Below are 17,805 nucleotides of genomic sequence, written 5' to 3'. Positions count from 1 at the left end.
TTTGAGTGCGAAAGGAAACCACTGGAGGATATTGAAGAAAAGAGTTAACTGATTTGATCCGTGTTGAAATGATTTTCTCTAACTGCAAGGGCAGACTCAAGGATACTATTAAAAGAGTTGTTGAAGAAATCCAAGTAAAAGATAATGGCTGCTTGGACCTGAGAGTGGTGAGAATTTGACCTTTTATGTTTATATTTTGAACATAGAGCCAACAAGATTTGCAGATGGATAGAAGAGATAGAAGATAAAGAGGTTTTGACTGGAACCAATGGAAAAGTGCTGTACTATTTACTGAGATGGTGAAGACTGCAGGAGAACAATTTTTTTTGAGGGGGTAGAATCATCAGTTTTCTTTTGGACATCTAAAGTTTGAGATTCTAACAGGCATCTAAGTGGAGATGCCAAGTAGGCAGTTGGATTAACAGGGAATTCTGGTCTGGCTATAACTGTGGAAGTTGTCAGTGTATAGATGGCATTTAAGGCCATGAGCCTTGATGTGAGGTATGAGCTTAAGCAGTCCAGCCTTTCCTGGTCAGGGAAATATGAGCAACCAGCAACAGATTTTGAAGACGTGGCCAGTGAGACGGGAGGAGAAGCAAGATTGAGGAGTGTCCTAGAAGCGTGTGACGTATTTCAAGAACATGGATGATGGAACAACGTGGAGGTAATTGCAGTAAATACTAAAATGGGACCATGAGGAGATGAGAGAATGTAGAACAACTTTTTTTTTTTTTTCTCATCCAGAGATTTATTTCAAAGCACAGAAGTGAAATGGACAGGTATGGGAGTCAAAGTTTTTTGGTTTTGTTTTGAAGATGGGAGAAATAAAGCCACCATTCTTCCAACAATGATTCTGTCAAAAGGGAAACCTTCATGATGCAGGAAAGAGAACAGAAGGTTGCTGGAACCATGTTCCTGAATAGATGAGAAAGGGATGAGCCTAAGTGGAACATGGACAGTTCCTCCACAGCAACAGGAGAGAAGGCAGAACACAAGCTCAGATGCAAGCAGGTTGGTCGACGGGGCCAGGATGCATACGCATTTCTCTTATGATTGTTTCCATTTTCAGTGAAGTAATGAAGATCTTCAGCTGAGAGTGAGGAAGGGAAAGGAGTTGTTGGAAGTTTAAGGACAGAGGAGAAAGTGTCAAGAATTATTAAGGAGAATGACGGAATAAAATGTAGGATTCTGCGTGATACCAAGGGTTCCCTTGGGTTATTGCTAATGAATGTAAAGCAAGCCCACCTATGGTTGTGCAATGTGAGCCTCCAGTTATGTTCAGCTCCTTGGGTGCTAGCATGGAGAATGCGGGGAATTGGAGTTACCCATGGGTGTTTTTTTTTCCTGTAGATATTATGGAAGCAAGGATGTGCAAGGAAATTGAGGACACTTGCAAGTGAATGATTATAATGAATAGTGAGGGAAATGACATTGGTTGGGGGCATCAGCGAGGGACAATGAAAAGGTAGTAGGGTCAATGAATTGGGTGTCTTGGTGGAGTCAGAATATTAAAGTGAGTTGGGAGAAGAGTATTAGTTGAGAGTAAGAATCTTGAAATTTAAGTTGTGCATTACTTCTCAGACAATATTTTAGAAAGTAGCTTGGCCCGAGTGTAAGATGGAATGGCTTCAGTTCGTTGGAGCTGCTGTTCTGTACTTTTGGGCAAGTTGTTTACTCAGTGTTTCAGTTTCCTCATTTATAAAATGGTAATTATAATAGTTCTTCCTAGAGTTATTAAGAGGATTAAAAGAGTAAACACATGTAGAGTCCTCAACAGTGCCTGTCACATTGCAAACATTTAATAAATGCTAGCTGTTATTATTGCATTTCTGTAACCTTAGAGTGGTGTCAGGGTCCATGGATGAGAAATGAGGAATATTCCCAGGGCCAGTGACACTTTATGAGAAGCCACATGGTCCATCAGAGATTTCTTGAAATTCACTTTTGCTGAAAAACGGGGCCAGTTGTAATTATCTCTCCCTCCCTGTAGATCACTCCAGTGACAGGCCCTTGTTTTTGTCGCCACTGCAAGATAGCTCTATTATGGTGGTTTTACTTGAGGTCCTAAGGCTTCTGTGACTCATATGAAGGAGCAAATTAAAGCCATGTCCTCTTGATGTTGCTTAGAGGGCCATAGATCTGTTTACAGGGTCAGTGGGAAAAGCACAAATAGCCATAACCTAAGTCCTGGATTCCTTGAAACATATATGTGAATTATGTTGAGTCCTAGAACTCCCCAGGAGTGACCTGTTATATCACTTTTGAGATCTTTGTGGCTCTGTTGTCAATGGTACATGACCAACTCTGTTTTTACTCTCTTAGATCAAGAGGTTGTTTTGCTATATTAATGAAAACTGTGTGTGCTTTTAAGTCCTTTTATTTGGCCTACAGGAAACTTTATTAAATGTCAATGTAACATTCTTAAGTTCTCCAAAAGAGAGTCAGCATTGGACTCTGGGTGAAATAAGATGCAGCAAACTCTCATTATTTCATGGTGTCCTTTCTTTTTAAAAATTTTTTAGGGTTTATTCTACTATTAGAACTCTAGGAGACTCTGAAAGAACAGTTGACAAATGAAAGGTTGGACCCCGAATTTAATATATATCTTTTGAAGATTAGGATATTGATTGGCTGGGCACTATTAGAGTTTCAGAACCTAATTCTGAGACTGTTACCAAGGAAATTGATGAAATTGAGAAGTTATCAGCCAAGGTGGATGAAAGCAGCCAAGGGCATTTAGCCAGGACTGTCAGAGAGTAAGAAGGGTCTGTCATTGCTCTCCGGGTTACATCAGTGCTGTGATTAAGATTGACAGGCCTGAAGTGGTAAGGCTGTCTAACTGCTTTACCTCTTCTACTCTGGCAAAGGGGCAGAGTCCGAGAGGACTGTCACCCTGACTCCTCAGTGATGGAGTGTTTAGGATACAGTATGTTAGGAGTGGACTGTGCGACATCAGAGAGCAGGGTCTGTTTGGGTTCATTGTTACCTTCCTACAAAATGGGATCTCATCCAGCTTGTCAGCATATACAGACTGCATAGTATACATTTGAAATAGGAGAGAGAGGGGAGTGGGGAAGGGGAAAGTGTTTGAGTGATTATCCTAGAGAATGGACAGCTTGAATGTTGAGAGGGAATGAGAGATAGGGCTATTTCTCCTCGTGACCATCTGGCTATGCAAGAGGCAGCACACCAGGGTACAATTCAGAGAAACCATTCTCTGAATCAACATTGGACCCAGTGTGAAATAAGATGCAGCACAGCTCCAATTATTGCATGCTGTCCTTTATTTAAAAAAATTTAGGGTTTATTCTATTAGAACTCTAGGAGACTCCAAAAGAACAGTCTCTTAGGGCACCACACTGCATGATTCTCAGCTCTCTGCTCCTCTTTCCCCTCACGTGGGGCAGGTGGAAAGACTGAATGGACTACTTCCCTTTCTGGAAGTTCTCCATGAATATTGATTGCTTAGCTGAGTATTTGTTAGCTGTTAGGCAACACTGACTTCAATAGGGTGTTCAATTGTAAAGGACTTAGAGTATTACATTCTGTGTTATTACATGGAAATTTACTCACTTGCTTTAAGAGCAGTTGAGCTGATAGACATGTACTTTATACAGATTTAAGGCTCTGTTATCTCCCATTTATGTATTTTGAGAAAGTTTTTTTGAACATGCTATTTAACGATTTTTTTAGTAAAGCCATTGTATACTCACCCTGCAGTTAATTTTCCTTGTACATGATTTTATTATCTCATATGTATTCATCTTATATAAGTAATTATTGTCTCACCACATTGTATTGTAATTACATGGCTGTGTGTCTCCTGCTGGGCTGTGAGTGCGAGGTTAGTCACGGGTCTCATTCAACTTTGTGTTCCCATACTAAGGACAGTGTCTGACATGTCATGTAAAGAACATGTATAGTGGATATCCATAAGTGATGAATGAATGAATGATATCCCAGTTTTAGAGTCTACCTCTAGAATATTGGCACTCCATGACCAGTATTCTGGATGTATTCCTTAAAACAGGGATATTGTGTTCATTGGCAATTTTTTGTGCCCTTTTTTCTCTTAAACTATAGAGTAACAGGCTGCTGTGTTTCACTCTGATCTTCCATGTGCTCTGTTTGATTGCTTGTTGATAATGAATGGTGACAAGTGCCATCATAGCATGGCTGCTTTGGTTCCAAGGTCACATCTTTCCCTTGGTTGAACGTAAGTGGGTTTTACATTTCAAGATCTTGGCTTCTGAAACCTGGTGACTTGTGTTTATTATTTATGTTCTTGGGCATTTATCATTGTCTGACCTCTGTAACCCCTGGTTTCCATTTTGATCAAATGAGATTTGTGTGTGGCCGGCTCTAGGGTGATGCTTAGCATAGCAAATGTGCAGTGAGTTGATTGAATAGCCTTTGACTGAGTCTTGCTGCTGCTGCTTCGTGCTGCAGAATTGTAATTTCTAACTTTTCTTGAAACTGTTATTTTACTTTTTTCACCTCTCAAATTTAATCACTCTCAAGGAAAGAGATTTATTTTAAAATAGAACAGATTATCATTAATGTAAAATTTTTGATAGATTAACCAGTTTTTCCCATTATATGTAGTTAAAATTTTTTCTTCCTATTTTCTTTAGCTGGCTTTAGTGACTGAAAAGCATTCTGGAGACAAGGAAACAAAGACAAAACAAAACAAAATGAATCAAAAAATCTGAAAAAAAATTACAAAGGTTGTCTTTTGGGATGATGATGATGATAGGAGGAGAAATTTAAAACTCTGATTTCTGCCCCTTACTAGTTTCAGAACAAGATTAGACAGACAGTAATAAGACCAAAGCCTCCTTTTTTCCCTTCTTGCCACAAGCACATATTGACACTTCATGTGTAAGTGTAGCGTAGGGCGTGAAATTAAATCCCAATGTTACATGTGCCTTGACACCTGGAGAAACTGGGAGAGCCTCTAATAACGCATCCATAAGCCCTCTCCCTTACTGTGCTCTAGGGAATACGGTCCCCTAACCAACCAGCTCTCCAAGACCCCAGCAGGCTGACATCTTGATTTTAGCCTTGTGAAATTTGAAGCAAAGAAAGACACTAACTTTCAGCACTCTGAGATAATAAACAGGTGTTGTTTTAGCCTCTAAGCTTGTGGTAATTTGTTACGGCAGCAGTGGAAACCGAATGCAAGTGTTAATGAGTATTTGCGTTTGTTTTCCTTGGTTTTCTCTTCATTGGAAAATTCAGGGGATAGTAAAACCTTTTTGTTTAACATGAATGGCAAGAAACAGTCCCCTCACCTCATGTTTCCATTTCATGAAGAACCCACAGCTTTATATATGTAAAGGGATGGGTCTGCGTTGTGTCCAACACACAGCTTAACGTTTGGATTGATTTTACTCTACTTGAATGAGCTACACTTTCCCTGGGGATCATAATTTTAACACCAAAGCCTCATTTTTAGTCGCTGTGGGCTCCAAGAGCATTTCACTGACACATCCTCTGCCTCAAATACACTTTCTGTTTTAAAAGTGAGTGATTCTAGACCTTTGAAAAATAAGACATGATGAAAACCAGAATAATGAACATTTTAGTTTTTATTTTTAGTTTTTAGTTGCTACACTTAGATATGTTGGTTACTCTACTTTTTTTTAAAAAAAAGTCAAAAAATGGAAACTGCTGTGAGTGACAAATAATGAAGCTTATATATGCATGAATAGAGTTTAGTATAGTTATAAAATCTTACAGTAAAATGACTACAACAGTTGTATTCATAGTCATAGTATTCATAGTATGAATAATTGCATTCATAATTAGGAATAAAGGGTAAGGGGATTGCATAAAGCATTATAATTGCCATTTATAATTATTGCTACCGTTACATAGCAGAACAAGCATTCTGCCCTCAACTGAGGGGAAGGAAAGTGGGGAACTGCGCCAGCGCATGAGTGCTGGATGGAACGTGGCTCAAAGTGGGTCAGCTCCTACCTCGCTGTGGTGGGAATTGCCCCTTCTTCATTAAGGAGCACGAGGAAATGGAAACTGAGTGGCTTGGCCCTGGGGGTCCCCAGCATCTGGCTAGGAGAGTGTGGGAGCGATTCCATCTCTGCCCTCCCCTGACCCTCCAGGGCAGCCCTTATCCCTTTGACTCTGCTTTTGTGGGAACTCCAGTGCCCTCTGTGCTTCCTTGGCTTCTGCCCTGCTCTTCCCACAGATGGAGAGGCGAAGCTAGAGGCTTACCTCATCTCTTTCCTTCGATAATTCTACTTAATAATTGTGAGATTTAAAGGAAGGCCTCTCCCCAGGACCCCGAATTCTCCTGCCACCACTTGAAATTCTGTTCATTAACTGTTAATTTGAATTAATAAGTAGGTATCTTAGACTGGCCAAAGGCAGTTATTAGAGGTAACCTAATCATTCTTAGCATGTGTAGCCTGAGCTAGGGGCTATTCTAAAGACTTTACCTGGATTAACTTATTTAATCTGCACAGGAACCTTATGAGGAAGGTCCAGTGGTGTCCAGTTGCTTGTCCTAAGTTACATGGCAATGACATGGGGAGAGTCAGAACAGACTCTCTATGGGTCTGCCCTGGGATTCAGGCCCTCAGCCACTGTGCTGAACTGCTCTCCTGGATCCTTAATGACGATTTGATTGCTTTCTTCCTAACACCTAGCAGCAATACCTGTAGGGATGAGACTGGAAGCAAAGATGGTGAGGACGTATTAGGAAGAGACATGGCTCTAAGGGGAGCAGTGCTTGGGATGATGGAGACTTTGGAAAGAGACTTGGAGGACATTTTTTTTGAGGCCATTATTTTCCCACCAAAAATAGAAGTCACTTGTAAGCATTTGGATGTCACATTATAATCAGTATGATAATTCAACCAGGGACCCAGCAAGTACTGCTGCTCTTCTTTGCCTCTCTTCCAACGTCAGCATCATCTTTCTCTTTGTATTTTATTTTTAATTTAATGTTATTTTTAAAAGATGGGGTCATGCCATATTGGCCAGGGTGGTCTTAAACTTCTGGCCTCAAGCAGTCCTTCCTCCCCTGCCTCCCAAAGTGCTGGGATTTCAGGTGTGAGCCACCGTGCCTGGCCTATTTTTTCTTTTACTGTTCTTGCTGCAGAAAACTCTTATGTATGTTTGTGTGTGTATATGAGAGAAGTGTTTAACTGACCAAGTTTTAAAATGTTGTTTAAATAACATTTTGCAAATATTCTTGAAGTAAAAGCTAATGAAAAGCAACTAATTTCTTTAATTGTCCTTTTCTTCCTCACACAGTATTGGCTGGATCCTGCAAAAACCCTTGCTGAACACAAAGAACTGATCAACAGTAGGTATTTAGCTTTTACTTTGTTAAAGGGTGGCTTGAAAACGATGACAAAGTCCATGATTAGTTGGGTGCAGAAGTGGGCTTTAGTACTGGAGAAAGAAGTGAATACTAGTACTTGAGTACCAGAATATGGGAATGTGTGTATTGTGTGCATTGCTAGGCCCTCTCCAAAGTCAGATTAAATTTAATCAGTTTCTGAGTGGATCTTAGTATGGAATTTTTCCTAGAGGCAGGTCTTTCCTTGATTTTGTCTGTGGTTTTTCTGTATGCTTGTCTTTAAAATTTGACCTTAAAACAAAAAAGGCAAATAGACATTAACGGGGGTGGTAGGTGGGCTGCAGGGATGGGTCATAATGTCCAAGCTTTTAAAGAGCTTGAGTTTCTTGGGTTATGGCATGGTTTTGCCATTCAGACCACTCAGTTTCCTAAGCCAGTAAGTAAGAGGTGCCTTTGTGATCTGAAAAGTGGTCTTCAGAGAGAGACCATTTTTGGGAGCTAGCTTTTTGGTTTTATCAATACAAATATTATAAGGAGATGCAATATAATTAAGTATATATTCCTTAATCTTAATTTCCAGAACCCAAGTTTTTATTTATAAGCACAAACAGAGGCTCCTTAAGTGCGCAAAAAATACTCTTTTTAAAAAAATTGTCTGTTTCAATTGAAATAAAAGGTACATAACATATAAAATGGATCCTTTTAACCATTTTTGTGTGCAATTCAGTGGCATTAGGTACATTTACGTTGTTGTGCAACCATCATCACTGTCCATCTCCAAAACATTTTAATCTCCCTAAACTGAAACTCTGTTCCCCATTAAAGCATTTTGCTGAACTGTGTGAATTATTGCTAATCAAAACGGAGTGGATTCTTCTGGCATTCATTATCCCCATTCTGAGTCTGTATTTTCTGTGCATGTCAGCTTGTTTCCTGTGATAGTATTGGTTGTGCGATGCTCCATGGATCCAAGGGCAGGAATGTAGCTCTGCTTCCAAAAGGAACTGGAAACCTGGACTGCAAAGCCATCCGAAAGTCCTGTTTCTATGAATGTCAGCATCATTGTTGTTTCTCATCGCCTTTCCACCTCTGTAGTGGAAACCACTGGAGTTTACAAGTTACAGCTCTAGCATATTTGAACCGATTAAAAAAATACCAGTTGGAAAACCAGAAAAATTTCAGGAATGATTTTTTTTTTTTTTTTTTTTTTGAGACGGTATCTTGCTCTGGCACCCAGGCTGGAGTGCAGTGGCGAGCTCTTGGCTCACTGCAATCTCTGCCTCCTGCGTTCAAGCAATTCTTCTGCCTCAGCCTCACAAGTAGCTGGGATTACAAGCGCCCACCACCATGCCCAGCTGATTTTTTTTTTTTTTTGTATTTTTAGTAGAGATGGGGTTTCACCTTGTTGGCCAGGCTGGTCTCGAATTCCTGACCTCAGGTGATCCACCCACCTGAGCCTTCCAAAAGTGCTGGGATTACAGGTGTGAGCCATTGCACCCAGCCAATTATTTTAAAATAAACTCACAGGTTTCTTTTATAGGAAAAGTTGATATTTCTATCAAGGTGATGAAAAAATGTTAATTATTTTAAGGTGCATTATTAAAGTGTTCCTAAGCACATTTAAAGTGTCTACTTATTTACATGGTATGAAATATTTTATTTAAGTATCAGTCTATAATGCAGTCACTTTTTCATTCTAAAAATGCAATATTAAAAATTTGCATAAGACTCGTGGTGTCTTATGCCTGTAATCCCAGCAGTTTGGGTGGCTGAGGCAGGTGGATCACCTGAGGTCAGGAGTTGAAGACCAGCCTGGCCAACATGGTGAAGCCTCGTCTCTGCTAAAAATACAAAAATTAGCCAGATGTGGTGGCGAGTGCCTGTAATCCCAGCTATTCGGGAGGCTGAGGCAGAGAGGATGGCTTAAAACCCAGGAGGCGGAGGTTGCAGTGACCTGAGATCCCACCACTGCACTCCAGCCTGGATGACAGAGCGAGACTCCATCTCAAAAAAAAAAAAATTGATGTATAGTAAGAATAAAACAACTGGTATTATAATTGACGAAACGTTAGTGACTGAAGAATCCTTACATTTTATCTCATGAAATTATTTGATAGTGAAGGAAAATGGCTATCAAATCTCTAATAGATTAGTCAGAAAGAGAATCTATAAAAATGACAGAACATTTGCTAGTTACCAGAATGCTTATAGTTAATCTTGATTTATTTCTCCTTGAGTTAATGAGAAACTCCTTATCAAAGACCTCAAAATTAGTCTACACAAAATATAGAGGATTCCCAGTTTTTGGCTTCTGTATTTTTTGCTAAAGTGAAACAATATTAACTTCACTTTACATAAGAGTTTCTTAAACGTTTGAGTCCATGGAATGATGTGGATTCAAGACAATAATTTTGTAATTTGAATTATCAGCACCTTACTTTTTTGTAGTCAGTCTTAGAATAGGGAGCCAAAAAATATCTGGCTAGACATATCCTTGTCCAAAATGTTCATTTCTATAGCCTTTGATTGCTTTCTGAAACAGTGATGCATATGAGAGTATTATCTCACTCTAAAGGTATTATTATTTTGTATTTCCCTGAGAAGCTGTATAGAATGGTGCACCCCAAAGTGCTGAGCCCTAGATGATAGCAAACTTTTTTTTCTTCCCTGTGATTTTAGGCAAGTTGTTTAACTCCTTGGAGTTTAATGTGCCTTGCATATGTTCCCAAGTTTTTGTTGTTGAGAATCAAATGTTTATGAAACATTTTCGTACATTATGAAGTGTAACCAAATGGTAATAATGCCTTATATTTAGAACACAGCCATTTTATATGTGAATGGGAAATGAAGGTCTAGTTTGGGCCAGAAGACCTTAGAGAAAATTAGCCAAAACCTAATGTTTTTAACTGTGTACTTTTAACATTTTTGCTTAACTGTTCATACTGAACATTTGAAATGCGTGGGCTTGGTGAATAGGGTGTAATCTGTCATGTTCCAAAGAATAGAAGCAGCTCTGAGGCCTGGAGAAGGCCTCTTCCCTTTGTGCACCATCTCAGCAGCATCTGTGCTCCTCCCCGCCCCCTAGGTACCAACCCCAGCTGCCTGCGGGCACAGGCAGACCCATCTGCTCAGGAACATGGAGCTTGATTGACACAGACGGATAAGCTGAGGGTGGACTTCCTGGCTCTTCTAAATATTTAATAGTCTGTGCCTCCCTGACATCTATGTTCAGGGATAGAGGTGTATTTGTCAGAAATACAAACACAGTGGTTAAACAAACATAAAAGTTAAACATAAGGAATCAACTCCAATAATAAGAAATTCTAGCAGTTTCTTTTAAAGTTTAGTTTTTAAAAAAGCTGTAGCATAAGGAGTGTCTTTACACAGGAAGGCACAGATGAGGGGAGGGGCAGGATCCTCATCTTGATGGTCTCCCACATGCCAGGAACAGGGTTCCAGGGTGCTGCACACATAAGTATGTGTATGTAATATTAATAAATAGTAACATAGTTCATATGTTATAAATACATGATACCTTTATTCTTGTTCATTTTAATTTCTTTTCCCCAGTTTCTAAATTTGTGACTTTATTTATTCAGTTAAGAATAGCGAGACTGGGGTTACTTTATCAGTTTAGATAGTATCGAAGACTTTTACTGAGATGCATGCTTCACATCTTTTCTTTTTAATTTGTGGGAGAGCTTTTGTTGGAAAACAAAATTAACACCCGTAACCACTAATTGGTATACCAGGTAACAAAACAAATCCTTTTAAAAACAAAGTGTATTAGATCTAGTTACTGCACAGCTTGGAAATATGCACTTTTGGAAACAGTACAGATTAGATTGATACCCTCAGAAATAAAAATATTTCTAGTAAAAGCATAATATAATGTGTTCAGCACCCAAGGGGTTTGTGTCTTCTTGCACAATATGAGTGTTTATTTTTTATTTGCCCATGTACATACAATTCCAGGCTTTGTTTCTGATTTTAAAAAAAAGTTTGTAGGCATAGTTCTTCTTTGGTAAATTAATGAGATGAGAAAGGTTTTCTTAAATACGTGAGAACACATTTTTAGATTCAGAAATGTTTAAGAATGAAACAAATATTGTCCCTAATTTTATTATGTAGCCTCACTGATGACTTTTTTCCTGTAAAAAAAGGTAAGAGTTATCATAAGAAAATTCTAATGAATTAGTTTAAGGATAGAATGTTTCTAGCCCTTCTTCCCAGAGTTTGCCATTTAGTAATTTTTTTTGTACTCTTCCAGGAAAAAAAACTCAAATATATATTAACTGATACTTTTTCACAAAAGGTATGATATTTCTGTGCTCGGAAATTTAGATAGTTGGTCTTTTCCACATGAGCACATGCAGATGCCCTTCTGTCTGTTTAAACATTTGCATGGTATATGTCCTGTGGCTGGGGCTGACTTAAATAGTCCACATGCTGCTGAGCATTTAAGTTGTTTTCAGCTTTTTGCAGATAGGTTTAAAAACTATTTTTTTTTAATGAAATGATAGGTGGGTGGTTTTTTAAACCATTTATTTTTTTTCTTTCTTCACTATGAAAAATTACATATATACTATAGAAAATGGGAAAAACATATATAATAAAAATTGTCCATAACCTCACCAACCAGACATAAGAACCAGCAACATTCTGGTGTATTTGGCCCTGTCTTTTATCTGTGTGTGTGTATGTGTCGAGGTCCTATCGTCACAGTTCTGAACCTTGCTGTTTTTATCTTATGTTTTCTTGTTTCTTTAGACAATCTTGGAGTGTAATTGTAAATAGCTGTATAATATTATACTGTAACTTTGACTAATTTATGATTTTAGTGAAATTTAATTTCTATTTCTTATTTTAGCTGGACCTCCATATACTTTGTATTTTGGTATTAAATTCTATGCTGAAGATCCATGTAAACTTAAAGAAGAAATAACCAGGTATAGTATTGACTTTGTTTTTGAACAGATACATGCATTGCATATACAAAAAGCTTTATTTAAAACAAATTAAAATTGGGCTAAACGTTTGGATGTGTGTCTACCTGCATTTTGTAACGCATCTCCTTAGAGGGTAAAATTTAAACTAGCATTGCATGAAGTTGATCAGTGTCTGATGATAGATGTGTTTGAAAATGGCGTGAACCTGGGTGACATGATGATACATTTTGCATCTGCTGTGATGAAATATTTCTGTATCATTATTGTTAAGCATGCATTCAGCCTTTGTATTCATATCGAAGTTATTTGAACTGCCTAAAGGAAGGATATTTTGATGTTCAGTTTGTACTTCTAAATATACATTTGCCCAGCCAGGTATTTCTTTTTAATTGGTTGTAGCTTAAATATTAGCTCTCCAGGTGTTTCATTTATCTCTATAGGAAATGAGAAGATAATTTTGCTTTTAGTATTAAGGATGGAAACCAATGTTTTAATGCATTACTTCACCTTTGTCACCAAATATTTGATATTAGTAAGACAGAATTTCCTATTGGTATTAATTAGGTTGTCAAAATAGTACATGTCAACAACTGAAAGGGCTCATAAGGAACAGACCAGTTATATTTTAACTTATTCTGCTGGTGACCTAGCTGCATGTGGTAGGAAAAACAAAAGTATATTCCCTAACTTAACCGTAGGTGGTCAGTTTTCCCAGTGAACCCATATTAGGGGCTAAAATAAAGCCTAATACCTCCTTTAAAAAAGTTGAAAATCATGTCTTTGGTAGCCTGTGGTTTTGTTTCTATTCCATGCTTTCATCTGTCTCAGACTTTCTTTTTTCTTTATTCTGGACTGCACACAGAAGAATAAGAAGAGGGTAGGCTAATTGGACCTTTTTCATCCCACTTTGAAGTGCCATATTTAGGCCTCATTTTTACTTTGTTTTATTTTATCCCTCAACTTAAGATATAATCTTTTGAACTCTAATGATTGATTGATTGATGAAAAGATTATATTTCATAATCTGTATTTGTTTAATTTTTTAAGACACAGGGTCTCGCTCTGTCACACAGGCTAGAGTGTAGTGGTGTAATCATAGCTCACTGTGACCTCAAACTCCTGGGTTCACAGAATCCTCCCGCCTCAGCCTCAGGAGTAGCTGGGACTACAGGTGTGTGCCACTACACCTAGCTAATACTTTTTTTTTTTTTGTCTTGTTATGTTGGCCAGGCTGATCTTGAACTGCTGGCTTCTAGCAATCCTCCTGCCTTGGCCTCCCAGAGTGCTGGGATTACCAGCGTGAGTCACTGTGCCAGCGTAGACCTCATTTTTAGAACCAAGCAGATGTCTGCATTCACATTGTTCATTATCACATTGTTAATGAGCACTTTGAAAAGTAGACATGCCAGTTTAAGCTTTTGCAGAGCACATCTTTCTGGGTAAAGGGCCATTAGGATGGGGAGGATATGTTGAGGGGAGGGATGGTATTTTCATTAGAGTTTCAGAGGGAAACTGAATTCAAGTGGTATAAAAAAATACACTTATATCTGTAACTCGTTAGGGAATTGCAAGGGGACAGCATTTTTTAAAAAATAAAATGAAAGTCCTTCATATTCAGGTTGTGAGTAATCTCTGCCTGTGCCTAAGTGTCCTCAGTTGTAAAACTGGAGATGTACCTGTTTCAAGGTTTTTGTAAGCATTAAATGGAATAATATATATAAAGCTCTTATGATTGTCCGTGTCTCGTACTATGTTTGATGAATGCTAATACTTATTTCATTCTATCCTTTTTCTAGATGTATAGTGGAATTATATCTTCAATAGGGGTTAGGGTCCAAAAATACTTGAGTTAATTTTAAGAAGGGATAAAAAAGATCATTGTTTTATAATGCATTACTTCACCTCTGTTCACCACACACATGAACAGGAATTTCCCAACAGAATCTACTGATGGCTCATTAACGGAATACATGGATTTTTGTATAATTTACAACCCACAATATTTTCAGTACAACCAGTTGTATTGAAAGTTTTAGACCAGCTTGTGTAGTTAAGAACACAGTGACATAGATGGCTTGCAATTAGTGTCCATGATTTGTTGCCTAAAACATATGGTTGAATTTAGGTAAGTTAAATGTGCGTTTAATACATTGATATATGCACATTATTCATTTTATTATTGATTTGCATGAATATATTACCATTAATGTACCTGAAAAAGAGGAGTCACATGAGATAATTTTGGCAAAAGCAAGAACTGAAACCAACAAGCAAAATCTCCAGATATATGCTATTTAAGGAAGAGCATACTTCTGCCAGCATTTTCAAGTTGAGTGTTTATCTTAATTTAGTTCTTTGGAAAATTGTACCAGCCTACTCTGCGTTGGCTGTTAGGTTGTCTGTAATTTTTTGGTATGAATGATCATGCTATCATAAACGTGCTTATACATAATCTTTTATGTATTTTTTTTGACATGTTACTATTTCATACATATTGTATGGCCTCTTTCGCCATCTAACCCAGTCTTTTTTTTTTTTTTTTTTGAGACGGAGTTTTGCTCTTGTCACCCAGACTGGAGGGCAGTGGTGCAATCTCAGCTCACTGCAACCTTTGCCTCCTATGTTCAAGTGATTCTCCTGCCTTAGCCTCCCGAGTAGCTGGGATTACAGGCGCCCACCACCATGCCCAGCTAATATTTTGTATTTTTAGTAGATTCAGGGTTTCGCCATGTTGGGCAGGCTGGTCTTGAACTCCTGACCTCAGGTGATCCACCTGCCTTGGCCTCCCAAAGTGCTGTAACCCGGTCTTTTTACTCCTACATTGTATTCCATAATTAACTATATGCTTTGGCCATCCAGGTTGTTTCCTTTTTTAAAAAAATTAGGGCCAGGTGCAGTGGCTCACGCTTGTAATCCCAGCACTTTAGGAGGCCAAGGCGGGCAGATCACGAGGTCAGGAGTTCGAAACCAGCCTGACCAACACAGTGAAACCCCGTCTCTACTAAAAAAATACAAAAATCAGCTGCGCGTGGCGGCGGGCACCTGTACTCCCGGTTACTCCTGCTTGGGAGGCTGAGGCAGGAGAATCGCTTGAACCCGGGAGGCGGAGGTTGCAGTGAGCCAAGATTGCGGCACTGCACTCCAGCCTGGGCGACAGAGCTAGACTCCATCTCAAAAAAAAAAAAAATACAAATAATGCTACAGGGAACTTCTCGTGCATATATATGGTCATACTATTAATATATGCAGTATTTCAGAAGGACACTGATGTAGGAAAAAATACCTGGAATGAATGTGATAGGAAAATAAAGTTTCAGATTATGAAAAATGTACGTTAATAGAATCATCAACTTGGAGTCCCCGCTTGTGTTCTAAGATGTTTTCTGAAGTAAATGAAACTGGGGGGACTTTCAGGTCGTATATTCTGAACTCCACCCGTGTAGAACATTTCTGACACATCAGCCAGCTTCCTATTAAGCACTTTTAGGTAGGAAAGCTCCTTTGAAAAGCACTAAGAAATTCAATAAGAAATAATAATTCCCTGATGGTCTATGCAGAATAAATCTGATCTCTCTATTCTTTATTAGTACTGTAGATAATTCGTGTCCTCAGGAGAGCTGTTAAACTTATTTTCAGTTCTGATTCAAAACATGACATCCTTCCCTGTATTGTGTGTCCTTCATAGCTCTGTATCTTCCAGATTTGATAAGTATAATACATACATTTGTTTAAAAGACAGGCTTGGGAATCAGAAAGGCTGAGTGAGGTCTGCATCCTTGCTTTGTCATTCACTAGTTCTGTAATCCTGAGAAGATTGCATAGCCTTTTGTAAAGTCTCAGTTTTTTCATCCGTGCAATGGGATTACAGTATTTCTTCAAAAAGATGCTTGGAGGAATATGTAAGAGTGTACTTGCAAAGTACTTACCATAATGCAAAGATGTAAGTGTTCAATAATGATAAAGGTAGCTGACATGGAAATAATGGTTATTGTTTTATATTTTCAAATTATTGATTAAAACATTTGGAAAAGACCAGCTTGGAGCCCTGAGATAGGTCTTCTTGCATGTTTAAGTCAATCCAGTAATCATATCCTTCTTATTGTAGGTGCTGATTTAACTATGAATCATTTTACTATCCCCTCTAGCCTGCATTTCTTGAATTTGTATGTCAAGACAGAATGCCCTTACACTTCATTCAGTAACTATCTGGAGTACCATGTTACAGTGTGCTGAGTAAAAGGAGTTTCAGTGGTGACCAGGGCAAGATCTGGTTTCAGTCTGCCCGAAGAGAGAATCTGTCAGTTGTCTTGCTGACAGCCCTATCTGAAATGCCATTGGAATGTCCCTGAACTTTTAAGGATCTTAAAACTCTTTCTACAAGTAGAAAATAATGTTAGTTCCAGATGACTCATTCATAATATTTTTTAGAGTCTCAAAACAGGTGTTCGATTTTTTTCTTAGCTTTTAAAATAATATTTCACAGCATTTTGCTGAGGATTGATATTATGTTCATGTCTTCTTTTTGCAACCCAGAATCTTCCCTTGGTGAAGATGGGTTTGTTTTATTTGGCTTCCTCACTTCCTGTGTGACCTTCAGTCCTATGCTTACTTCCTGAGTCCCTGTCTCCTCCTTTCACTGAAGGTAATGGTCCTCATCTACCTCAGAGTTGAGGGTTACATGTCATTATGGAAGCGAAAGGACTTTGTGAACTTTAAAGAACTATATAAATGTAAGGTGATGTTACTGCTATTTGTTTCCATATTTTCATCATTGGTTTTAAACTTTAGAGGTTAAAGAGTTATGATTTTCTCTACTGTTTTTCTGCTGAGTCATATGTGCCATTTTTCTGCATTATTTAATATCATGTTATGATTTAAATGTTTCCCTTTGACTCTCATATTTAAGTTTTATCAAGACTGGTTAGATAAAATGCTGTGTTCCTGCTCTTTGTGGGATGAAGGTAACGATCACACTCCTTATTACCTCTGTGTAGGTTGGTACTCTCCTCTAGGTTCTCCTGTTTCACATTCAGCTAGCACCTAAAATCAAACTCCTCCCTGTCCCTACATCCTTCAGTTTTCTCAGCAGGGTCTTAAGTCATTAGAAGGTGCACTGCAGGATTCTTTGGTGTAAGCATTCATGACTGTTCTTGGCCAGGAATCTTACAGGAGCCTTCTGTTTTGAGCTTCTGTCTCTCTGCCCCTTCTTTAAGAAAGTCCTGGTCTGTTCTTCTTGCCTCTAATTGCTAAATTGTTAATGGTCCTCAACAACTTGTACATCCTTGGTGTCAATTTAGCTCGTTTCAACATACATTAGATAAATAGAAAACTGTGAGGCCAATATTTCAGGCCCGTCTCTCGTGTTGTGCTGGTGGTGGTGGCAGTGTGTTAAGTACAGATAGAGTGGAAGACAGAATGCTCCTCCCCACCTATAACTCAAAATCTCAGGGGCAGTGCATATACATCGGTTTGTTAGTTTACATAAGGAGGTAACCAGAAACTGCTTCATGAAGCCTCTGCTGTGTACCA

At 38.5% G+C, this 17,805-nt stretch overlaps 1 protein-coding gene across 16 annotated transcripts in view; it reads left to right on the top strand.

Annotated features, from left to right (window-relative positions):
- EPB41L4A (erythrocyte membrane protein band 4.1 like 4A) overlaps positions 1 to 17,805 on the top strand; it is a 278,107-nt gene that overhangs the window by 132,334 nt on the left and 127,968 nt on the right. For all 16 annotated transcript variants that reach the window (XR_001742173.3, NR_144931.2, XM_011543531.4 and 13 more), the window contains 2 exons: positions 7,279 to 7,330; positions 12,198 to 12,276. Coding sequence is in view for 12 of the 16 variants with exons in the window: in XM_011543531.4 (XP_011541833.1) it covers positions 7,279 to 7,330; positions 12,198 to 12,276 (131 nt within the window). In the remaining 4 variants the exon portion in view is untranslated. The remainder of the gene's footprint in view (positions 1 to 7,278; positions 7,331 to 12,197; positions 12,277 to 17,805) is intronic.

This window comes from Homo sapiens, chromosome 5 (assembly GCF_000001405.40).
Source record: "Homo sapiens chromosome 5, GRCh38.p14 Primary Assembly".
NCBI classification, from domain to species: Eukaryota; Metazoa; Chordata; class Mammalia; order Primates; family Hominidae; genus Homo; species Homo sapiens.
The sequence above is the reverse complement of the archived record's forward strand: the minus strand, read 5'-3'. Positions and strand labels throughout refer to the sequence as shown.